The sequence below is a fragment of the Homo sapiens genome, chromosome 8 (assembly GCF_000001405.40).
Source record: "Homo sapiens chromosome 8, GRCh38.p14 Primary Assembly".
Taxonomy (NCBI): Eukaryota; Metazoa; Chordata; class Mammalia; order Primates; family Hominidae; genus Homo; species Homo sapiens.
The window spans coordinates 27,520,855-27,545,906 of record NC_000008.11 but is presented as its reverse complement, the minus strand read 5'-3'; the positions used below and the strand labels follow the sequence as shown (position 1 = coordinate 27,545,906).

At 48.4% G+C, this 25,052-nt stretch overlaps 1 protein-coding gene across 13 annotated transcripts in view, besides 1 other annotated feature; it reads right to left on the bottom strand.

The window, feature by feature from the left end:
• Window positions 1-25,052, bottom strand: part of EPHX2 (epoxide hydrolase 2) — a 57,484-nt gene that overhangs the window by 2,720 nt on the left and 29,712 nt on the right. For 4 of the 13 annotated variants that reach the window (NM_001979.6, NM_001256484.2, NM_001256482.2 and 1 more), the window contains 10 exons: window positions 24,998-25,024; window positions 23,399-23,484; window positions 20,434-20,545; window positions 9,052-9,123; window positions 7,215-7,248; window positions 5,251-5,353; window positions 4,365-4,434; window positions 2,078-2,158; window positions 1,663-1,721; window positions 343-1,463 (listed from right to left, as the gene is read on the bottom strand). In NM_001979.6, the coding sequence (NP_001970.2) occupies window positions 1,385-1,463; window positions 1,663-1,721; window positions 2,078-2,158; window positions 4,365-4,434; window positions 5,251-5,353; window positions 7,215-7,248; window positions 9,052-9,123; window positions 20,434-20,545; window positions 23,399-23,484; window positions 24,998-25,024 (723 nt within the window). In that variant the 3' untranslated portion in view covers window positions 343-1,384. Of the gene's footprint in view, window positions 1-342; window positions 2,159-4,364; window positions 4,435-5,250; window positions 5,354-7,214; window positions 7,249-9,051; window positions 9,124-19,137; window positions 19,836-20,433; window positions 20,546-23,398; window positions 23,485-24,997; window positions 25,025-25,052 lie in introns of those variants that run through there. The other 9 variants (NM_001414019.1, NM_001414020.1, NR_182233.1 and 6 more) reach the window with 8 other exon arrangements.
• Window positions 17,929-18,129: a silencer, noted in NCBI's record as "peak6969 fragment used in MPRA reporter construct". NCBI's record gives its function as "represses an SCP1 promoter by STARR-seq MPRAs in K562 erythroleukemia cells {active_cell/tissue: K562}" and the evidence as "EXISTENCE:reporter gene assay evidence [ECO:0000049][PMID:32103011]".

Below are 25,052 nucleotides of genomic sequence, written 5' to 3'. Positions count from 1 at the left end.
CTCCAGGTGCACTAGGGCAGTGAAGAAATGCCAGCAGCCTCCATTTCAAACCTCTCCTGGCTTTCTCCCTATACACAGATACTCAGGCTCTTGTGACCTGGCCAACTCATGCCCGTCATCATGCCAAACTCAGCTTGGAGGGACCACTTTCTCTCGCAAGCAGCGAGGCCATTGTGCGTGCATCTGTGAGCCCGATAACCATGCAAGGGGGGCAGGCAGAAAGGGCTCGGAACCCAGCCTATGGGCTTGGAGGAGGTGGCAGGAGGAATATTCCAGGCAAAGAATGGGTAAGTTAGGCAGAGGGTCAAGGAGGATCAGCACCTGCAAGTGTGCTGCTGGAGGGCGGTTAGGAATTGGAGGGTGATGGGGCCGGGCTGGGGGTGGGCAGGGGCAGTTGGGGGAGGCCCTGCGAGTTTCAGGATCCAACCATGTGGGCGGCAAGACCCGTGAGGAGGCTGCTGCTCCAGGACTCTGGGGCTGGAAGCAGGGCAGGGGAGAGACCACTGCAGGAGACACATCAGTGAGATGGGAGCCTAACCGGATGTGACAGGAGGCAGGAGAGGGTAGAGGGGAAGATAGGGAGGAGGGGGCAGAGGGGAAGATGAGCTGGATCTGCCTGAGCCTCATGGCAGCTGCTGCTATTTAACTTTAAACTGATTACAATTCAATGAAATTTAAAATTCTCTTCCTCAGCCTCACTAGCACATTTCAAATGCTCCAGGTGCACATTTGTGCCTGAGCAAACTCTGCTAGGGAAGCCGGGAGAAAGGCAGGTGGCTACCTGTGGCCAGTGACTGCTCTAGGGGACAGAGCACAAGACACCACTGCCATCCCCATAGGATTGTCTCCTGGCCAGCACGGCCTAGATCATACAGCACCTTGGAGCCCAGAACAGGGCTCAAAAGCAGAGGGAAAGGGTTCATCCCCATGCCGTGCATTCTCCGTGAACAGTCACTCCACCTCTCCAAGAACAAAGACAGCCAGCAGCATAGTCATCTTAGCTTTATTGAGTAAGGCATCCCAATCTCTGCTAAGATTCTTCTAAATGAACGGCTGATTTTTCTGCCAAACTATGCATTGGTCAAAGAGAAATCACCACCTGGCCACCCCATTCTGTCCCCCTACAGGACACTAAGGGTTCTTACAGATAAAGGGACGATGCATTCATGCCTGGAGAACTAATCACACCTGATTTCTCTGGGATCTAAAATAATGTCAAATTTGATTCACTTTATGTAAAGAAAATCTTTTTTTTCTGCAAACCCCTTCAGAACAATGCTGCCATCCATGCAAGATGTGTGTAAGGCCACCTCTGTATACTAAGAATGGTGCCCCAGCAGGTGGAAGGATGGCACACCTGCTGAGCGTGGGCACACGCTGCGTTCTACATCTTTGAGACCACCGGTGGGTTCCGGGCATCAGAATCCAGCCACTTAATGAGGATCTGATTCACCTCGGTTGGCCTGGGGGAAAGGGAGAAGTAAAAGAAAAAAATAGCCATTCACACTTGTCTGCACCTACCCAGCCAACTCGAAGGCAGAGGTGAGTGACATGAGTGGCTAAGCCAGGCCAAAGCCAGCACAATGAAACCAGGAAAGCTTTTATGGAAGGTGAACGGGGGGCCCTGCTCTCCCCGACCCCAGGAGCCCCCAACCTCCTTACTTGTCCATCTGTGTCCAGTGCCCACAGTCCTCAATGTGTCCCCTTTTCAGGTGGGGAATCTGAAAGGAAACCCCAGGCAGAAAGGTAAATGGAAGAAGGCAGATGGGTGTGTCTCTAGCTAGTGCAATGGGCAATGGACGCCTTCTCTCTGCTCCCCGCAGGCCACCCTGCCCAAACCCTGCATGATTTAGGAAGGGAATAATGAATGAATGAGACCCCACATCCATGCAGGGGAAAGGAAGGTACAGTCACGGTTGCTGCTTGCAATGGGGGGACAGTGATGTTACTGATGATGTGCTTCAACCATGGTCCTATCCACATGACAAGGTGTATCTTCTGCTGCCGTCTTCCCTCTGAGCACCCGTGCCCTCTCCCGGGGTGCACTGATGACCCTTGTACAGGGCCATTCCCTCACCCAGTCCTCCATGTGCTGGGACATCTGAGGAACGAGCACGAAGTCCTTCTCCGCCGTGACCATCAGGGCCGGAATCAGGATCTGGGGGGAGAACAGGAAACAGAAGTGGCCAGCACTCCACAAAGGAAGCCCTCCCTCCTCCTCTGAAAGACCCCTGCTCGCCACCCTGCTGTGGTCCTGACGTTGTATCTGCCGAACTTTGCACAACAGACTCGTGGTTATTACTGGAGATCTTTAAAATAACAGCTTCAGCAGTGCAGAGGCCAATATGGGTCTTATGTGTGCAGATGTGTGTGAGTGAGAACGTGTGCTGAGCTGCATGTAACTGGGAGAACCGAATTGATGGCACCAAGAAGGCAGAAGACACCCTTGAATGAAGATCAAGATTCCTCTTCCCTGAATTAAATAGATGCTTAAAAGGGGCGACCAAGGTTCCAGAGAAAATGGGGGCAGCCACAGTAGTAATCAATGTGACATGAATGGCAGCAAAGTAACTTCCAATTGCTGGCAAATGAGTTGAACACAGGGAGGCATGCACAGGAAGGCCAGGAAAGCCTCTGTGTTTTTTCCTTTGTTCTCGCTCCACCATTACCCTAATTTCCAAGCAGCTTTGACCCATCCCTGGTTGAGGAACGTGCACTATTTTCATTTACACCCAGAGTGATGGGCATCTCTCCACACCCCTCCCTCCTCCCACAACCAGGAGCCAGGAGAAGGTCAAAAATGATTTTGTGGCTAAAACGAATCCTGAGGCTTCTATGAGGTTTGTAAACTCTAGAAAGTTCCAAGCTAAAATGTGAACTGGGCGGGGGGCGGGGGGGGGAGAGGATGGGATGGGAGGAGGTGGGGGAGGAGAGAGGAAGATCCAGCTGGAAACTGCAGAAGAGAGGCTGGGTGCAGTGGCTCACGCCTGTCATCCCAGCACTTTGGGAGGCCGAGGTGGGTGGATCGCCTGAGCTCAGGAGTTTGAGACCACCCTGCGCAACATGGTGAAGCCCCATCTCTACTAAAACACAAAAAATTCGCTGGGTGTGGTGGCGCACTCCTGTAATTCCAGCTGCTTGGGAGGCTGAGGCAGGAGAATTGCTTGAACCCAGGGGGCAGAGGTTGCAGTGAACCGAGATCGTGCCATTGCATTCTAGCCTGGGCAACTGAGCAAGACTGTCTCAAAAAATAAACTGCAGAAGAGGAGGGTTTCTGACCTTAGCACCATTGGGATTCACCTTCCCAGCGCCTTTGTCAATATTTTCCTCCACGCTTTGAGAGATTTTGTCTGTCCAACTGCAGTTTGGTCATTTTCATCGGTCATATGATGATAATGACAAGGAACACTAATGGAGCTAATAGGTTCCCAGTACTGCTTGTAACAGGTCACATGCCTTCAACCATTTCATCCTTACACAGCTCTGTGAGGGAGGCACTGTTCTTGCCACTTGCATATTGCAGAAGAAGCCACAGTGGATCAGAGGGGTTAAGTACCTTTCCCAGGGTCACACAGGGATTAGACTCAGCCCATGTGCTTCCTAGCCTGCTCTTAACCACGATGTTATATACTCTAGTGCCTCAAGACTTAATTTTGGGAGGTCAAGACCTGGTCTGTTTACACACCATGGTATCCCAGGGTCTGGCAGGAAGTCTGGCATGTAGCAGTGTGTTCACTTACAGAGTGAACCAACAAGGTAACCATGGCTACTGAGTGAGCTGATGAAGGCCTAGCTACCTGTGCAGTCACACTGGGGAACAGATTTCCCTTAGATTTTTAAACATTTTGAATGTAAACTGGGAACCTCCATTACTCCTTCTGCAGACCCAGAGATTGGAAACTCATCTTCTGCTTGACAAATGAGGAAACTGAGACTCAGAGATTGACTTGTGCAAGGTGACACAACCGAAGGCTAAAGTCACATCTCTGAGAGCACCTAACGCTCCTCTGGGCTGGGGGCTCCAGTATCCATGTCACTTCTGGGAGGTGCCCCAGGCCATCTGCAGCCCTGCCTTGGGGTACCACCAGGGGACCTGGGGATTCCGGATGGATGCTGCAGTTCCCTGGACACACCCCAGCTCCATCCCCAAGGTCACCCTCTACCATCCCAAGAGAAGCACCAGCAAGAAAGATCCTAGGGAAACCCCTGAAGGGAGTCACTTCCCAAACCCCAAAGGGAAAGGAGGTGGCCAGCAGATCTGTCCACAACCAGCTCTGGCCCAGGTCATATCAGCTCAGGCCAATGGGAAGCCCCGCGGGCGGGTCCTGGGGTGTGGATGAGACTACACTGAACCTGGCACTCACCTTCCGTCCCAAGCTTTTGCAAGCCCACTTCCAGTTCCTTTCCATGTTTCGGTACCAGTTTAGAGGACCTCTGGGGAGAGATCAGAAAGTAAAAAGAGGGAGGCAGTAAGTAGACGGCTCTGCTACAGACACCAGCAGAAACCTGCTCTGCACAGCCAGTCGTCCTGGGAAGAGCAAAGCCTCCTGCAGGGGCAAGAGAATAGAGCCCAGGACCCACGCCTTGCTGTCGGGCGCAGTTGCCAAGCTCTAGCAGCAAGGCCTTGTGCAAGGACACAGGACTCCACTGAGTGAACTGGCAGCCTCTAGGTTGGCTTTTGGGACACAAAGAAGCCGGCCCTACAGGACCCTCCAGGGAATGTCATCGTGTCACCTTGGAGGCTGGGGAGGTTGCTGATGGTGGGGAACTTGGTTTAGCAGCCTCACCATCCAGAGGCCACTCGCCTGCCCCAGGGAGCCCACTTGAGAGGGACATTGGGAGGTGGAGCAAAGATGCCCCCTCCTAATATGACATCAGGAAGTAGGGCAAATGCACCAAAATGTATGCACTTTTTGAGTTTATGTGGATTTTTATGTTTTTCTGAAGAAAGAGCCCAGAGTTGCCATCTGATTCTCTGAGGAGCCATGACTAAAAAGTAGTGAAAACCCTCTGCCCTATGGGGGCCCCATAAGCATAAGGAAGAACAAGCTGAGCTATCCCAAACTAGAGCAGGCTGAGCACCATAAAGTAGTGAGCCTCCCGACACTGGAGGCATTGAAGCAGAGGCTGGCCTGGCACTAACGAGGGCTGTGGTGGAGGAGAACTGGGCCTCACCCTCCACCCTGAGGGCTGAAGATCCCTATCTGTCGATCATCTCTCATCTGTGTCTGGGCCCTGTGCTCTCTTTACCTGAAACCAGACTTCTTGAACTGCTGCACATAGAACTGGATTTCCTCCTCAGTGACCATCCTGCTGAGGCTGGGCTCTTCTGGGCTATTTACAAAAAGTCCTCCTGCAAAAAAAGCCACTTGTTGACTTTCCCATCCCCGGGCCAGGTGTCTGCATTTTAAGGTGGGGACCTCATTGCCTCTCGCAGACCATCTGAACTTGCGCAAGGCCTTATGAGTGCCTCCATCTTTTGTTCCCTTATCCTTTGCCAGAGTGATCCCATCTCCTCGAAAGCTCAAAGCTGTGATCTCACGGTCACACTGGAGCCTGATGTTCCCTCCCACCTAGCCACGACTTCACGGGCTATTATCACAGCTCCTGGACCAACCACAGTTGCCGGCTTTTTCAGGCACACAGCAGCTATATCCCAGACCCTGCCAGCCCCCAGCTCCTGCTCTCCCCTCGTCTAAACCTTTCCCAGCCAGCTTAACTGTGGCCCTTTGGAGATATCGCCAGAGATTCTTGGAATTTTCATAAGGATTTGCTCCGTTTTTCCTCTAAGGCAGGAAGAGAACCCAGGCCAGGTGGCTGCATCCTGTCACCTCCCACGTGCCGCACAGACCCTCTGTGGTATCCCACTGTGGACCCCTCTCTTGTCTTCAGGGTGCTGCACAGTCCCTCCAGAGGATGGCCTGTGATGACCCCTGGCAGCCCAGGGACCACTGCAATTTCACAGGGCACAGCCTCAATGCTGGTGCCTGAACAGGGCCCGTCGGCATTTTCAGATTCACGAAGACCCGGAGGCACAGGAACTGGTCATTCCAGGCTTTTGTGAGACACATCAAAGGGGTATGTGATGAGGATGTCACCCTGTGATGAAGCCACCCTGAGCCTCCCCACCAGGCGGGTGCTCCAGACTCACTGTACCTCAGGGCCCCTCTGCGAGCATCCCAGCTGCTCTGCCTCCCGTGAGACTGTGGGCTCACTGAGGGTGGCCACCCTGCTTCGTGTGTCTGGGTAGCTGAGCATGCAGCCCCAGCTTCATACCCAGCCTGTGCTCACAGCATTTGAGGAATGAATGAATGGGTGAATGAATGAGTGACAGACGGTGTGAAGGAATAAGGGAATGTGGGTGTGGGGGAGGGAAGGAAGATGTTCTTTGAGCAGTGACAAGAGCATGGCCTGCAGGGTCAGAGGAGTTTAACCCCAGCTCAGCCACTTCGGACAAGTTACTTAACCCTCTGAGACCTGTTTTCCTCTTTGGAAATTAAAAATAGTAGCATTTTTCAGAATGCTTCGAGGATCACAAATATTTTATCTAAAGGGGGTTAGTCCAGAGTTTTATACAGATGGTCAGCACGTGCCCAAACAAGTGACAGTGGTCATCATTATTCATAAAAATACAAGTGAATGCTGTCAAGGCCACAGTGCTGCAGCAAAAATAAGGTCTTGTGGGAAGAGTGCTGGATCTAGGGGCCATGGGGATGAGCTCAAATCAAATCTCAACTCTGACCCTTCACTCATACCCAACCCAGGAGGGAGACAAGGATGAGCTCCAGGTGGGGGAATTGGAAACATGGCGCCTGGATGGAGAGGGGCCAGTGGACTGCAATGGAGGAGACCTGGGCAGGGGCCCCACTCCACTCCACCTGCATACACGAGGTGACCCCCATAGAGGTAAGCTCTCAATCCTGGGGTCCTTATCAGTAGAGGGTGGATTTTGCCCTGGACAAGCTCTAAGACTCCTCCAAGCTCTTACTGCTTAAGATCTTGAAGCCACAGCTCCCTAGAGGGTAGGAACTCCAGGCTGTGTGCTCAGGCCTGGGGTTAGAGTCAGCCCTATGCATGCCGAGGGGACCCTGGTTGGGCAACTTAAAGTTCAGAGCTGGAGAGCTCAGGGCTTCTGCCCATAGCAGTCAGAGACAGAAACATCCCTTTAACATTCAGCTGGTTCCAGATATGGCTCTCCCAAGCATGTCTCTTACCCGCTTCACAGACTTTATGCATGGATAAAACACTCTGAAGGAAGAAAAGAAAAGAGTTACAAATGATGTCATGGGTGATACAAAGGAAATATGCTCATCTGAAAACCCTGTTACGACAAATGACAAAGGAAATATGCTCATCTGAAAACCCTGTTATGACAAATGACCTCTGAGTACCACGCAGACTGTAACAAACATGTGGAACTCCCAAGAGAGCCAGGGACCCCCTCACAGAAGTCAAGTAAAGAGCGGGCTCACGACCAAAGCTCTGGGCTGAGACTGCCCCAGGGCCCTTGCAGACCTTGGTAATATGAAGACCTAGGTTTATCAGCCAATGGGAACAAGAAAAGAGACCTTGGCCTATGATGAGAAGTTGAAGATGTGATATTCCATGCTCCTCCATGGTAAATCCAGTAAATCTGGGGTCTCTGACATGCTATACCCTCAGTGAAAAAATTGATTAGAAAAAAAATCCCCTCATGATGATAAAGATGTTAAAGGAGTTTGTCTGTTTCAGCTTGGTACTAAGAGGAAACCAAAAGACACCCCCTTGGGAATTCATAGCTCTAGGCCTGCCTTCCCAAGTGCTTGGATTTGAGTTTGCATTCTCTGCATGATCTGGAAACTCTCAAGGTGTGAAGTAAACAAGAACAACAACAACAATAACAACAAAGTGAGCCTGGGTTGGTAATGCCACCAGGATGCCTGGCAGAAGAAATCCTTAACCACTCAAGGGGTCATTTCCTCAAGCCCAATTGAAGCAGATGGGTACAGATTAAGTACTGCTGAAGATGAGCTTATAAACCAAAATTACAAAACCCACACTCACACAAAAAGGCCCCACAGCAAGAGGCAAAAAATGTAGCAAACAGTAAATACGACTCCCCAAAAACATCCAATAACAGAGTTTGCGAGAGGGAGAGAGAGAAACAAGAGAGAATTAGAAATGAATATACTTAAAATAATTGAAAACATAAAAGGAACTGAAAAATAAGAATACAACAAGACTCTATCAAAAGAGATCAGAATGATTTGAAAAAGAACCAAATAAAACTTTCACAAATTAAAAAAAACTATTTATTGAAATTAAAACTTCAAAGACAGGTTAAACTGCAGATCAGACACTGCAGTGTCCAGGACAATTAATTGGCTAAGACAATTAATGTATAGGAGGTTAGACCCGAGGCTGACTCACAAGCAATGACAGAAGTTTCTAAAAGAAAATAACCTAAAATTCTATACTCAGATAAATGATTCTTCAAGATTAAAATTAAGATGTCTTCAGGCACCAAAATGTGAATTTACCACCAACAGACTCTTATTGAGAGAACTACTAAAGGGGATGTTTCAGGAAGAAAGAAACTGAACTCAATGCAAATGAGTGAGATGCAAGAAGTGATCAGTAAAGAAAGTAGAAAATATGGGACAGTTTGAGCAGGCACTGACTGTATATAAAACAACAATAGTGATGATGACTCCTAACACCTAAGACAGGAGGGTGCAGCTTACAGAGTTAAAGGTTTCTAAACTCCTCTGCTTCAAGAAGAGGGTTGGGGACATCAATTAATTTTGTACTTGGGTAAGCCAATTATGCATGTTAAAATGGTAATGGTAATAGCATAATTTCCAAGCCATCATTATTATAATCATTCTCTGACCTTGTGTGTCAACGAGGATGTAAATTTTCCCAGTAGAGTGAGGACCTCAATTACCCTGACTATAGAAATGAAAGAAAAGGAGGCCAGATTGCTACTCCTGGTCCCTGCCACACACTAGGTACCCTACTTCCTTCACAACTGCCCCCTCCTGTTCTTCTGCACCCATCCCCACCCCTCACCTCATCGCTTGCTCTGAAGAGGCTTTTGAAAGTCCGACTCAGGTTCTGTTCCAGTTCAGCCTCAGCCACTCCCTAAAACAATCAAGAAAGCAAAATGAAGGACCCCCTAGAAATCGTGGAAACTGTACCCCTCCTTCATCTGACTGAAAGCAACAAGCACCCTACCTGTGCCCCATCCAGCCCAAGTTTCATCAGAATAGCATCCATTTGAATTTTCATCATAAAACATGTCTTTTAAAAAGGTTAGCATAAAATACAAGATGCTAACTGTAGTTCCCCACGGGAGGCAGGTTTATAGATGCCACTTTCTTTGTGTTTTTCAATATTCCTATAATGAGAAGGTACTACTTATAATAATCTCTTGAAAGGACTTGGGAGGGGGCTGGTAGAGGAATGGGTTGGAGGCTGACTGGTGGTAAGAAGAGAGGGGCTCCAAGGATTCTGAGAAACCAAGCAGAAAAGCCAAAAACTATATACCAAATGCTCTTCCATCCAGGCATCTAAATTTCGCTATATTGAGGCCAGGAGTTTAAGAGCAGCCTGGGCAACCTAGCGAGACCCCATCTTTACAAAGAAACTTAAACAATTTTTTTTTTGCTGTAGAAACTTCAAAATCAACTCCTTTGACTTGGGTCTTAATTGTTACAGACCATTAGATTGCCAATAGATTGTATTCCACAGACAGGGCAGCAAGGTTTCCACTGTTAAAGAGCTGGGACACATAGCCTTCCTGGTGACAAATGACCAGGTCCTTCCAGTTCTTGGGAGCAGTATGGCATTTAATTACCCAGTCGACACACAGTTCTCTGGCTGTTCCCAGGTCTCTGGCTTGTGTATGGTGGGAATTCTCTGACCTGAACTTGCTTCATCAGCTCCACAGACACTGAGCTCCTTCTCTGGCAAACTGGACCAAGAGATGCCAATGTACAAAATAGGCTCCAGAACCTTCCTGGTGGACCAAAGGATGGGGGAGGGGCTTGGATGAGGACTAAAGTGAAGTGTCCAGGTCACTGAATGTCATGTGCTGAGGGCTGGGGAGGAGATTCCTACTGGAGGCTCAGGGTGTGGAGTCTTCCTCTCCTGCTTCCCCTCTCCTTCCTACCCCAACCCTCTCCAGGAGCACTTCAGCAAAGCAGACACCAAGAACAGGGGAATGGCTGGAAGGTGACAAGAGATCCATCCATGGATCCTACTCTCCTAGTGGGGGTAGCCTGGTTCATGGCTTTTTGGAGCATAAGAGGACAATTTTAATTCAAGCTGTCGTTTCCAGAAGTTGAAAGATGGTGGACCCGAAAGCTGTTCCAGACGTAGTTTAGGAGAAAACAGCTGTCCTGGAGGCAGAGATCCACTAGGGGCAACCACTCAGAAATAATAAAAATCTTGGCCGGGTGCAGTGGTTCACGCTGTAATCCCAGAGCTTTGGGAGGCCGAGGCAGGCAGATCACCTGAGGTCAGGAGTTTGAGACCGGCCTGGCCAATATGGTAAAACCCCGTCTCTACCAAAAATACAAAATTAGCCGGGCATGGTGGTGCATGCCTATAATCCCAGCTACTCAGAGGCTGAGGCAGGAGAATCACTTGGACCCGGGAGGCAGAGGTCACAGTAAGCCAAGATCTCACAATTGCACTCCAGCCTGGGCAAAAAGAGCGAAACTCTGTCTCAAAATAAATAAAATAAAATAAAATAAAATATTTCTGTAACACAGCTGCTGCTGAGGGACTAGTGCTACCAGAGGGAATTGAGTTAAGTGTGGCAATGCCAACTGACTCTCCTCTCCTTCCCTCTAACCACCCACCTGCACGCACCCAAACATCAGCTGAACTGTTCTGCATGTGTTTTCTGAGCGGGCCTCCTACTCGCTGGCCTCCCTGGTTTAACACATTGTGACCTTCACCAAGAGCATGGACTTCTATTAGTTTGGCCTTCAACACCGGACCCAAACACTGCCTTCTCCATGAGGTTCCATCTTTCCCACCACCAAGGGGTAACTCTGCTTTTCTTGGATCCTGCAGAGCCTTGAATGTGCTCTCCTGGGATCCCCTTAGTGGTGGGGACTCATCCTGTTCTCAGCAGCATCTGTGGCTGCCTTTGAGATAGAGTCAGAGGACAGGAAGATCCTAAAGCCACATCCACAAAGCTTTCGTTCCAGCGACCTGCAGTCCTCAGTGCTTGCACACGTTGAGAGGTTACTTTTTTTATTTTTATTTTTTTTAGATGGAGTCTTGCTCTGTTGCCCAGGCTGGTGTGCAGTAGCGCAATCTCAGCTCACTGCCAAGATGGGTTCAAGAGATTCTCTTGCCTCAGCCTCCCAAGTAGCTGGGATTACAGGGGCCCACTATCACGCCCGGCTAATTTTTGGTATTTTTAGTAGAGACGGGGTTTCATCATGTTGGTCGGGCTAGTCTCGAGCTTCTGACCTGAAGTGATCCGCCTGCCTCGGCCTCCCAAAGTGCTGGGATTACAGGCATGAGCCACCATGCCCAGTGAGACGTTACTCTTTTTTGTTCTGCTCATCACTCCTCACGAGAGCTCTGGATCTGTGCAGTGGCAGCACAGAAGAATGGAGACATTGATCATCTGGCGGTGCTGGATCTAGGGTTGGAGATTTTCTGATGAAAGCTATGTCTGCCTGTTAATGACAGTTCCCTCCGTTTTGTAAGATTCAATTATAATGGTGCCAATGGCGGCCTTCCGCAACATGATGATGAATGCCACAGTGAGAAATAGCCATGGGAAGAAGCACATTTAGGTCATGGATGGAAGCCCTGGTCAGGTCTGTGTGTGTGGCTGTCGGTCATCATTCTTATTTACTGAGAGCAGTCCTCATCCCAGAAACAGCTGCTGTTCATGAGCTCAGGGGTGCATTTCAGTGTTTGAAGGAACCCATGGAAGCCTGGACAGGGCTTTGCCTCAAATGATCCTTTAAAGGGCAAACGATGTCAAAAAGTCAGTAAAGAAAATCAAAGAGTCTAGGTGTGGTGGCACAAGCCTGTAATCCCAGCACTTCGGGAGGTCCAGGCAGGAGGACTTTGAGGCCAGGAGTTCAAGACCAGCCTGAACAACAGTAGAGACCCTGACTCTACAAAAAATATTTTAAAAATCAGCTGGGCATGGTGGTGCATGCCTGTGGTCCCAGCTACTAGGGAGAATGAGGCAGGAGGACTGATTGAGCCCAGGAAGTCAAGAATGCAGTGAGTTATGATTGTGCCACTGCACTTCAACCTGGGCAACAGAGTGAGACCCTGTCTCTTAAAAAAAATCAGAGAGAAAAAAGGTAAATAAATCTGTTCACTCACATAAAAGTGCAGCAGAGCAACAGAAAGAATAGGATGAAGCTGGGAGCCAGAAAGGAGAGAAGATAACATTTGTCCTCTGCTTATGCACTTAGCTGAGATCTTCCGACTCTCTTTCATCTACAAAAGATAAGACTATATCTTTAAATCCTACAGACCAATGACAAATTTCCTGTCTGCCCTGGAGAGGGGCTCCTCCTTCTGTGTTCCTGCGCACAGAAGTTAAAGGATGGACTTTAGAATCCAATAAACACAGTTTCAAGCCCAAGTACTGACAGTTACCAGCTGGGGAACTTCTTTCCCTAGAGCCTCGGTTTCCTCATCTGTAAAATGGGGATTTTGTAAGGATTAAATGAGATAATGCCCATTTCTTACAATGCCTGACATGCAGGAGGCATGCCAATAAATATTAATATCATTATCTCCATTATTATTATTATTCGTTTAGAGACAGGGTCTTGCTCTGTTGCCCAGGCTGGAGTGCAGTAGTGCAATCATGGCTTACTACATCCTCAAACTCCTGGACTCAAGTGATGCTCTCGCTTCAGTCTTCTGAGGAGCTGGGATTACATGTGTGCACCACCATGCCTGGCTAACTTTTAAAACATTTTTGTAGAGACGGGGTCTGGCTATGTTGCCCAGGCTGGTCTCAAAGTCCTGGCCAAGTGATCCTCCCACTTGGCCTCCCAAAGTGCTGGAATTATAGGTGTGAGCCACTGCACCTGGCTGATTTTTTAAAATTTTAAATTAATATCTAATTAGGGTTCTTTAAATGATATCATCTTGGCTTTAGATTGGGCCCTAGATCTAATGACCTGTGTCCTTATGAGAGAAAGAGGGAAATTGAGACATACAGAGACACAGAAGGGAGGATGCCACATGAAGACGGAGGCAGGGACGGGCGTGATGTGTCTACAAGCTGAGGAACACCAGGAATTGCCAGCAACGGCCAGGGGCTGGGAGACAGGCATGAAATGGACTCTCTCTCGGGAGCCCCCAGAAGGGACCAACCCTGCCGAGACCCTGATTTTGAACATCTAGCCTCAAGAACTGTTGAGAATTCACTTTTGTGGTTCTAACTCACAGCTTGTGGTACTTTGTTATGGCAGCCCCGGGAGTGGGAACACAAAAGGAGAAGCCCCTATCCAGAGCAGGCAGGAAATTTGTCATTGGTCTGTAGGATTTAAAGATACGGTCTTACCTTTTGTAGATTAAAAAGAGTCAGAAGGTCTCAGCTAAGCACATAAGCAGAGGACAAATGTTATCTTCTGTTATTTTCCTCCCATTTCTGGCCCCCAGCTTACACTAAAGCATGTCTCCAGGGGGTATCTTGATGTGGGGGCTGAGGGGAGAGGGTGAGGAGGGAAAGGGGCCAGGGTCTTCATTACCCTGGGCTCAGGGGGCCCAGGCACCACCCCCAGGAGCAACAGGCAGCAGGTGTGCCAACCGCAGGGTGGGGGTCTGGAGGGTCCCAGGATCCAAGGTGCCCTGGACTTCCCTCATCCTCTCAATTTACTTCCCATGTGCGTATTCAGCACACTGTCAGAGGAGCCCCCAGAAATGCAGGGCACCACAAAAAGATGGAGTTTTGTCTAGACTTTCCACTCAGCGCTGGTAGGGGCGGCACTGTCAGTCACCTAATTTGCCAGGGAGGTGCCCCCACATTGGTGGAGGGCACAGGATTGCCTCCTGTGCTCAGCCCTCCTAACAGGGAGAGCTCCCCTCCACCATCCCAGGAGTTTCTCCTCTTTAATCTTCTCTTGTGTCCTTTCCAAGGTAGAGAACAGGTCTGCTGAGAGGCTGCACTTAACTGTGGCTATTGTTTTGTGGGTGAGACAATGGAGGCAGCTGTTGAAGCCAAATTGCAGGTCCACGAAGCCCCCACTCAGCCCTCCTGCCCTTTACAAGTAACGCCAAAGGATGCCATCCAGGAGTGGAGGTGAAGCCTCTGCTGGTCAGCGGGCTGGGCCAGTGACTCTGTTTCATGCTCCGTCTACCTTGACAAAAATGACTCCAATTCCTCTGGAAGTCTGCGCCAGTGTTCTCCAAGACAGGCCAAGAGAAACAGTGGGGTGGTTGTCCCTGAGGTCAAAAATGGCAGTGGCTGGAAGCATCCGAAATCTGGGCAGACAGCAAACTGTTGACCTTTGACTCTGCAGTGTGGCTGGTCAGATGAGAAAGAGGTGGACAGCAAAGACTTAGAAGGCTCTACAGGGACCCAGGGCACTGGGGGCCGCCTGCCACATGCTGATGGTGCCAGCTCTTTCTGTCCATAACAGCCCTGAGCTGTGAGGCCCATTTCACAGAGGAAGACGCTCAGGTCAGGGGCCTTAAGTGCCTCGTTGAAGGTCAGGCAGATTATAAATGAGAACATCAGACTCCAAACCCCTCCATATTTGGTTCTTTTCACCACAACCTAACACAACACTGCCAATTTAAGACAATGAAAATAACCCTGCCAAGGGTTTCCTCCATAAAGGGCATAAAAATTAAAGTAACAGCCGGGCGTGGTGGCTCATGCCTGTAATCCCAGCGCTTTGGGAGGCCGAGGCAGGTAAGTCACCTGAGGGTGGGAGTTCGAGACCAGCCTGACCAACATGGAGAAACCCCATCTCTACTAAAAATGCAAAATTAGCCGTGCGTGGTGGTGCATGCCTGTAATCCCAGCTACTTGGGAGGCTGAGGCAGGAGAATCACTTGAACCCGGGAGATGGAGGTTGTGGTGAGCTGAGATCATGCCATTGCACTCCAGCCTGGGGAACAAGAGCGAAACTCCATCTCAAAAAAAAAAAAAAAAAAGAAAAAAATTAAAGTAACAATAGTTAAAGCTTGGTGCATAAGGTAGCAAACAGTGGCACTTTCTTTTAAACTATATTATTCGGCTGTGAAAAATAATCAAAATAATGTCCCTCCACAGAGGATTACATAATCCATAGTCTACCTGTTACAAAACCCCATGCAGCCATTAAAAAGAATGAGATAAATCTATATGTGCTGACAAAAAAATCTGTGCAATATGTATTAAATGAAAAAGCAGCATGATTCCATTTATATGAAAAATTATATATGTGTGTGTGCTCATACACACATATATTTGCTTAAAAACATTCAAAAATAGTTTTTAAATATTTCAAAAAATGTCTGGGAAATACCAGACTATTAGTAGTAGCTATTAGTAGCTCGTTGATGGGCAAAGGGCGATTCAGCTTTTTACTTTACACAACACAGGACTTTTTTAAATAGCAAGGATGAATTACTTCATAATTTCAAAACAAAAACAAAACCTAAAAAATAAACTCTGTAACTAATCACCAGCTGTCCCCATGGCCTGAAGGAGCTACTGTGTTCTAGAGATTAAGAAAGATTCAACATTTAGGCTGGCATGGCAGCTCTCACACCTGTAATCCCAGCAGTTTGGGAGGCTGAGGTGGGAGGATCACTTGACGCCAGGACTTAGAGACCAGCCTGGGCAACACAGCAGAAAAAAAAAAAAAGAGAGAGAGACTCAATGTTTTGAGGAGAAAGAAAATCATTTGTGGATGATTTTCAGCCAGGTAAAACCTTCTGCCTACAATTTTTCTTTTCCCACATTTTCTCTCTGATCCTTAGTTTCTCTTCTGGTTAAATACTTAAATAAAAGGGCTCTTTTTTCTTTTTCTTTTTTTTTTTTTTGCTCAGGCTGGAGTGCAGTACTGCGATGTCAGCTCACTGCAACCTCCATCTCCCAGGTTCAAGAGATTCTCCTGCCTCAGCCTCCCGAGCAGCTGGGATTACAGGCATGCACCACCACACCCAGCTCTTTTGTATTTTTAGTAGAGACGAGGTTTCACCATGTTGGCCAGGCTGGTGTCAAACTCCTGACCTCAGGTGATCCACCTGTCTGCTGAGATTATAGATGTGAGTCACCACGCCCAGCCCAAAAGAGCATTTTTTTTTGCCTGAAATCTGCCTCTAGCTTGCTATATGTTTCCAGACACACACACAGGTGCCTGCCACCCAGTCTTCCTCAAAGAAATAAAAATACACATGTGCGGTTTAAGGACAAGTAAAGAGGACCAGTGTCGTGAGGTGGGAGAGAGCAGGGTTCACAGGATATCCTAGGTACGTTCTGGTATGGGGGGCATAATGGGGTGTGAGTATCCCCCAGGCCAAGTGAGGACTTTGGGAATCCTCAGAATTAAAACATGGAACAGCTAAGCTGAAATGACCCAGCCGATTCCACTGGCCTTCGCTGCCAGAGCTGCCTAGTCTTCATGCTTTCTCACTATACACATGGAAAGCTGTCACCTCTTCTCTGAGAAGGCAAGAAAAGCAAGCCTTGTTTGTTTCCAGCAGACTTGGCAGATTCCCAGGCCAAGATTCAGCACGTTGGCTAAGGGTTCAAAGAGCTATATGGGAGCTGACTCTAAACTTGGAGTTAGTCTAAGCCTCACCCTGCAGTGCTCAGCAGAGATGACCCAGAAGTGGGAGAGATGGGGCTGGGCGCAGTGGCTCACCCAGCATTTTGGGAAGCCGAGGAGGATGGATCACCTGAGGTCAGGAGTTCAAGACCAGCCTGGCCAACATGGTGAAACCCTGTCTCTATTAAAAATGCAAAAATTAGCCAGGCATGGTGGTGGGTGCCTGTAATCCCAGCTACTCGGGAGGCTGAGGCAGGAGAATCGCTTGAACCTGGGAGCTGGAGGTTGTAGTGAGCCGAGATTGTGCCACTGCACTCCAGCCTGGGCGACACAGTGAGACTCTGTCTCAAATAATAATAATAATAAAAAAATAAGTGGGGGAGACGGGTGCACCCACAGCACAGAAGGAGTCTTCCTTAGGCTGCATGGGTCTGGAACAGCCTCAGTGCTCCTAGGGAGAAGGAGGAGATGTCAGAAATGCCTCCTCCTGGCCAGGGAGGGAGCGGGTTAGGAGGTGGCAGGAAGGAGGAACTCCCAGCACCCACTATACATCCAAGAGCTGTTCTCCATGTTATTGGCTTTATTTGCTGACCTGGAATCAGCTTAAGTTTGAAGCTATTACCTGTTTGAAAACCACCCAAAACCAACCTTTTGCAGATGAGGAAACTGAGGGCCAGGGATGGGAAGTGCCTTTGCCTACTTGTTCCTTAGAGAGTAGGTATCAGGCAGGCTGGCAGGAACCCCTGTGAGTGATTTCTCCTCCAGTCCCAGCTCTGTACCTATTGAGTGGTTCCAGTGGCTGGATGCAGCCCAACCTGGTTACTGGGTATCTTTCAGTGGCCAGATCACTAATTTGAATATCTAACATTTCCCTGCCAAGGCGCTTTGTTCTTAAGAACAAAACTGTCCCCAAAACTCTCACTGCAGATTTTAAACCCAGCTGCTACAACAGAATAGAGGTACTGATTTTTCCACAATAACTGTTAACAACCTTTGAAACAAAAAACTGTGCCTTGACAAGGGCTGTAATTACTAAGCGTCTTTCTCCTAAGGTCACTTTTGCAATCAGGATTTTGAGCCTATCCTGATTTGTCCCTCCTCTCTCTGCTTGACTCCCCATAGCGCACAGAACAAAGCCCAAGCTCCCCTCCAGCATGGCTTAGTTGGAGGCATGGGCTTTGGAGTCAAACAGGCCTAGGTCGATATCCTGACCCAATCATGTACCTGGTCTTGGGCCAGTTGGGGTTAAGCCCTCTGAGCCTCGGTTTGCTCAGCTGAGAAGATAGGAGAGAATTCTTCGTGTTGCTGTGAAGATTAGAACCACGTGGCACATAAGAGCTCAAAAACAGCTGTAGCTGTAACCCATTGACAGATGACCAGATTAAGAGAATGTGGTCTATACACACCATGGAATACTATTCAGCCTTAAAAAGGAAGGCAGTTCTGGCCCCTGCTACAACATGGGTGAACCTTGAAAGCATGATGCTAAGTGGAAGAAACTAGTCACACAAGGACAAATACTGCATGCTTCCACTTATATGAGGTTCCTAGAGGAGTCAAAATCATACAGACAGAAAGTAGAATGGTGGCTGCCAGGGCTGGGAGGAGGGGAGATGAGGAGTTAGTGTTTAATGGGCGAAGGGCTTCAGTTGGGAAGATGAAAAAGTTCTGGAGGTGGATGTGGTGATGGCTGCACAACAATGTACATGTGGTTAATGCCACAGAACTGCACACTTACAAATAGGTGACATGGTCAATTTTACATTACATGTGTTTTACCACAATTAAAAATATTTTAGGCCATGTGCAGTAGCTCACACCTATAATCCCAGCACTTTGGGAGGCCGAGGCATGTGGATCACCTGAGCCCAGGAGTTTGAAACCAGCCTGGTTAACATGGTGAAACCCCGTCTCTATATATTCACACCTGTAATCCCAGCACTTTGGGAGGCCGAGGCGGGCAGATCATGAGGTCAGGAGTTCGAGACCAGTCTGGCCAATATGGTGAAACCCCGTCTCTACTAAAAATACAAACAAACAAAAAAATCAAAAAACTAGCCGGGAGTGGTGGCATGCACCTTAGACCCAGCTACTCAGGAGGCTGAGGCAGGAGAATTGCTTGAACCTTAGGAGGCGGAGGTTGCAGTGAGCCGAGATTGCGCCACTGTACTCCAGCCTGGGCAACAGAGGGCGACTCCGCCTCAAATAAAATAAAATAAAAATAAAAAATACACACACAAAAAGTGAGCCAGGTGTGGGGGCACACACCCGTAGTCTCAGCTACTCAGGAGGCTGATATGGGAGGATCATCTGGGCCTGGAGAGGTCGGGGCTGCAGTGAGCTATGATCACACCACTGCACTCCAGCCTGAGTGACAGAGTGAGATCCTGTCTCAAAAAAAATTTTTTTTAATGGGCTAAATACCATATGAGGAAACAAGGAGAAGAGGACTACCCACAAGCCAAGGAGAGAGGCCTCAAGAGAAACCAACTCTACAAATACCCTGATCTTGAACTTCCAGCTTCTAAAACTATAAGACTGTGAATTTCTGTTGTTGAAGCTGCCCAGTCTGTTGAGCTACCTAGCCTTTGTTATGGCAGCCCCAGCAAAGTAATACGCCCTCTACACCACACACCACACCCATAGTCTCACCATCGAGACTATCTCACACTAATGAAGGACATTGTGCTTTCATTCAGGCCAAAGGAAGCTCGTGGATTCCCACACACCAGGCTGTGGCACAGCAGGGCCCAGGCCTCCCTGTAGTATGTGGGATGCGACATGTCGAGGTCTCTTCAAAATGCCGCTGGGAGCTTTTGGTGAATGAGTCCAGTTATTGCCTGAATCGCAAAGCTCCTTTCACACAGATGCTGTCTCATCAATGAAAATAATTGTTGGAGAACAGTTACTCGTTGAATCGAAACTGGGATGGTTGTGGTCTTGCTGGAAACGGTCCCTCCTAAGAGGAGCAGAGGTGGAGGCTGGGAGAGGAACGTGGGAGACGCTCTCACATTCCTGATTAATTAATTCCTTCCATTCCTCTCTCTCTGGAGTGTGCAGGAAACATCTTTTATTCTCTCTGGATAATTCCTGCAAGTGGATGCATAGCAGATGTCTCCCACAGAAGAGGGCAGCTGTAGGCGGGGCACCAGGCCAGGTGACGTTGACTCCTGATGCTGCTCTCAGTGAATTCCAGTTAACAGTGGCAGGGATGCCCCAATATATGTATCAGCCACATCTGGGGGCATCTTTGAAAGGCATCTTTGTGGCACGTGTACTGATACCTAGAAACTTCTCAGATTCTTCAGAGCACATGTGGGGCCTGTTGCAGGACTCTTAGACCCTGGTGCCATAATCACCAGCCTTTCAGCCAGAGAATGAGGAGGGGCAGCTCTACCTGAGCATTGAGCCCCAAAACTCTGCAATTGCAGAGACACCAGAGAAGCCATCCCCCCAGGGTACAACATCCCCCGGCCCTTCACCACCCGAACACACACGGAAATGTGCCATTGCCTGGGAAGGATCAGCTGGGCATGGCAGCCAGTTTCACCTGAGCCCATTTGTAAAATCATTTCTGACTAATGCCACATAAAATTAAAGGGGACAGTGATAAAGCAAATAAGAAGGAGACAGGAAGGGGAAAGGCAAACACTAATGCTCCCATTGTTGCCCTTGGTGCCATACTTACTGGTTCTTGGAAGTAGAGCTGGTAATCAAATACTGGGTTGGCTTTGATACTCTCCAAAGGGGACATGTTGGGATTTGCTGGTATGAAGGGAGTATTCAAACTGGCCACCGCCCTACAGAAATAAGAGGCAGCAAGACATAGCCCCTGTAAGAAGACAGTCTTACAAGAGCCAGAAAGGACTTTGCAGTTCAAAACTGAAGCTCAGAGTGGGAACATTCTATGCACAAGGTCATACACTAGCAGTGAATGGGAGAATGGGATCAGAACTCAGGATTTTCGATTCCTAGTCCATTGGTTTTTTTCCTACTAAACTGCAGTATTTCTCACCAACTTGCCTTAGACACATAGGTGCGCGCGCGCGCGCGCACACACACACACACACACACACACACACACACACACACAGTACACATACTGTAGCAACCCTGGATAGAATATGGAGACACGAATCTCTCTCTAGTTTTAAAATATACATTCATTTTTTTTCCCTCCCTTTATTCACTCATTGTGTCTCCTCTGGATTGAGCATAATTCTATGGCATATACTAGAGGAGAGAAAATGTAAAATGAATAAAATATCGTTTTTATCCTCAAGGAGCTCATTATAATTTAATAAGGAAAAATAGAAAAACACACAGTGACCTTATGAGATGACTATGATATGAGCCATAGAATAGCACAAAATAGCATAGGAGTTGGAAGGAGATAAGGAATTCCTGAACTGGGCATCATGGAGGACCCTGTGGAAAAGGGAGCATTTGAACTTGGCTTTTCAGAATGGGGAGAGCTGGGGAGGAGAACAAGGCCTGGGAGGGGAACAACATAAGGTAGCCTGAGCAAATTCTAGAAGGGGGCAAAGCTTGCAGCTGTATTCAATGGAGCACACAGTCTGCGTGGCTAGAAGCCAAGCATGGAATGGAATATGTTGGGAAATAACAACAGAAAGGCAGTGGGGAGCCTAGACATGAAGGGACCTGAGTCTGAATTTGGTGCTGTAAGAACCAAGAAAACCATGAGGGCGTCTCAGAAGAAGGGAGGGTGGATCCGAGTTGCAGTCAGGATGATTAATCCAGCCCTGAGAGACCACATGGACACAGAGAGAGAGGTCAGGAAGATTAATCAAGCACTGAGAGACCATATGGAAGCAGACAGAGAGGCCAGAACCTGGGAATCCAGCCAGTAGACCACTGACTTATCACCTGAAGAGGGAATAGGATGCTAGCAAAAGGAATAGAAAAGACGGACAAGCATAGTGGCTCATGCCTGTAATCTCAGCACTTTGGGAGGCTGATGGGGGTGGATCACTTGAGGCCAGGAGTTCTAGACCAGCCTGGCCAATGTGGTAAAGCCTCATCTCTACTAAAAATACAAAATTTAGCTGGGCGTGTTGGTGCATGCCTGTGGTCCCAGCTACTCAGGAGGCTGAGGCAGGAGAATCACTTGAACCCAGAAGGTAGAGGTTGCAGTAAGCCAAGGTTGCACCACTACACTCCAGCCTGGACAATGGAGTGAGACTCTGTCTCAAAAAAAAAAAAAAACAGGAATAGAAAAGGGGGTGAATTTGAGGGGCAAACACAGCTCGTTGCTATCTTTCCTTTTGTTGACTTTAACCAGTACGTTGTGCAGTCTGCAGGGTAACTTTTTGGTGAACCCAGTTCTTAAGAATCAAGCTCTTATTTCCACTTTGAATGAGAGAGGGGACAGAGAAAGAGAGAGGAAGAAGCTAGAATATGCTATGTACCCACAAGAAATTTTTTTAAAAAATTTAAAAAGCTAGAGAGATGAACACAACAATACCATGAAAACTTTAACAATATTTTAGGAACATTTGATTCTTTTTATTCTTTGATATAATCCTATCATTTGAGCCAGGAGTGAAGCAGAACAAAGTTTCCTGGTAGTTCCAATCTCATAAACTTAGCCAAATACAAAATAACTGGGTTAGTTAGGGAAATTCAGATGGTGGCTTAGGATGATGTTTCTTTAACTTGCTAAGACCAGAGGCTGAAATGGGAAGTCAGACAGGTTTAGCTGCAGCTCACCAGCTCAAATGGCCAAAGAGACTACAGAGTCTCTGGGCCCAAAACCTGCCATCTGATAGCTCCCACTCAAGCCATGAAATGCTGGTCTAAGAATGATTATGAATGAAATGGTGGGGACCATGACATGCTGGGCTCACTGGACATTTGCACAGCATTTTCTGGTTGTGGAGTCAGGCAGGAGTTACCATTACCACTTTGTGGTTGAGAATGCCAAAGCCTAAGAAGCGAAGTGATGTGTCACACAGCTGATCAGGGCAGACCGAAGGCCACGCTTTCTGATTCTCAGTCCAGGACTGAAGACACACCTGTTGCCTCCCCTGCACCCCTCAAGCTCAAGTCAGGATCCTCCTGTATTCCCACTGGCCACTCGGGCCCTGAATTATTTGTCCCATTGCCTGTAAGTGGAACAGGTGCCGCTTCCTAACACATTAGCTCATTAGGCCCTTTTTTTTTTTTTTTTTTTTTTTTTGGAAACGGAGTTTCACTCTTGTCACCCAGGCTGGAGGGCAATGGCATGATCTTGGCTCACTGCAACCTCCACCTCCTGGGTTCAAGCGATTCTCCTGCCTCAGCCTCCAGAGTAGCTGGGAGTATAGGTGCACGCCACCATGCCCGGCTAGTTTTTGTATTTTTAGTAGAGATGAGGTTTCACCATGTTGGCCAGGGCTGGTCTCAAACTCCTGACCTCAGGTGATCCACCCACCTTGGCCTCCCAAAAATGCTGGGATTACAGGCATGAGCCACCACGCCCGGCTAGGCCCTCTTTATAATGTGTCACCAGACACTAAAGAGTGAAGACATCACCTTCCCAGACTACCTACTTGTTTTTGAGAAGTTTTCTGGGCTTAAAGATCTGAGGAACAATTCTCACAGGAGTTCAAGTCCAGCCTCCTCCAAATCTTTATTGCCCGAGGCCCAATTACCTCACTCTCTCGGGGTAGAAGAGAGCCATGTACCACACCAGCATGCCACCCCAGTCATGGCCAATGAACACTGCTTGAGAGAGGCCCTAGAGAAGGAAAAAGAAGGGAGCCGAATGTGGGGAGGCTTCTGGAACGGGGTGCTGAGAGGTTCGGCCATCAGCCAGCCCCTCGACACCAGGGTCTCCTCCCCCGACCCACAGCAGCTCTCCAAATGCCCACCCTTCAAGCCTCTCCTCCCTCCACCAGCCACAGACCCTCAACACAAATAGCCAGCCTTTTACATCTGCTTAGGAGACCAAGGCCACAGGCCATGGGTTCCTTCTCCCTCTCTACCTTCTCTCAAATCAAATTTTCTTTCGTTCTTTTCTTTTTCCTCCCTTCTATCTTAAAAGAAGTAAAACTTACCTCTTCATGTTCCATGTGCATCTTTTATCAAATGATTATGCTTCTACCCCCCACAACCCCACTTTTTTGGAAGCTCTCCTCCCTTAAACAACCATTAAAAGTCCCAAAGCATCTTTAATCTCTCTCTTTCCGCTGCTGGTATTGAAAATGACAACGTCAACTCCCCTTTATGGAAGAGCTATAGCCACGTGTCACTTAACAAGGGGGACACGTTCTCAGAAATGTGTCAGGTGGTTTTGTCACACAAACATCACAGAGCGAAACCTAGATGGCAGAGCCTATCCACACCTCGCTCCACACTGACCCCACTGGCAGCAACCGCAGAGTCACTCTCTCAACAATAAGGGACACGCTTCTAGACAGAAGTCTGTACAGAGTCAGGACTGGGTGGCCACTCTGGGCCATGCCCTGTTCCCTGTCCCCATCACACACAAAAGTTCCAAACCTAATCCCAGGAAACTGAGAATCTGCAGAGGGTAGGGACCATGATATTCTCAGGGTCTCTTCCCTGCCGTGTCAGGCACAGCGCCCTGCTGGTGAACCAGAGGTCAGCCTCCTAGATCCTCTCTGACTCCCACATCCAATTAAGAGGCCTTAAGTCCCACAGCTCCATCATCCTTCTCTGTCCTCCACTGCTGCTGTTCTGCCTGGGCCTGACCCCTCCGTCCATTCTGCCCCTCTGACCTCACTTGGGGGAAGGGGACGCTGTTATACCATGCAGTCTTGGGAGTGGGAAGTGTACTCTGCAAAAGCGCATTCTCAGCTCACCACTGCTGATTTGCTTTCATTTGGTATCATTGAGTTTGACATTCATGACAATGTCAAATGCAAACAGGAGGTTTTAGGAGTGTCAGAAGGGATGAAAGTTTAAAGAGCTGAGAAATATTAGCCTATGGGGTATTTTCCAAACTTCTCTAATGGATACTCAAGGCTGTCCTCCCTGGTCCCATTCCCTGGAACCTGCCTTTCATTAAAAGACAAATAAACAAGCTCATCTCCATCCTGTTCTCCACGCAATCCTTGCTCTTTGTCATTGTTTTTGTGATTTTCCCTGCCCATGCCCACTCTGCCCTAAACTGCCCCAAAATGGGCCCTCCCTGCCCGTGCACCTCTGCTCGAGGCTGACGCCTTTTCTTTAATTACCCAGGCCCCAAAGGAATTCTCCAAAGATATCAGTTCAAAATAATGACTTACCAGTTTATCCAGGAAGGTTACCATCTCCTAAGGAAGAAGACACACACAGGCAAAA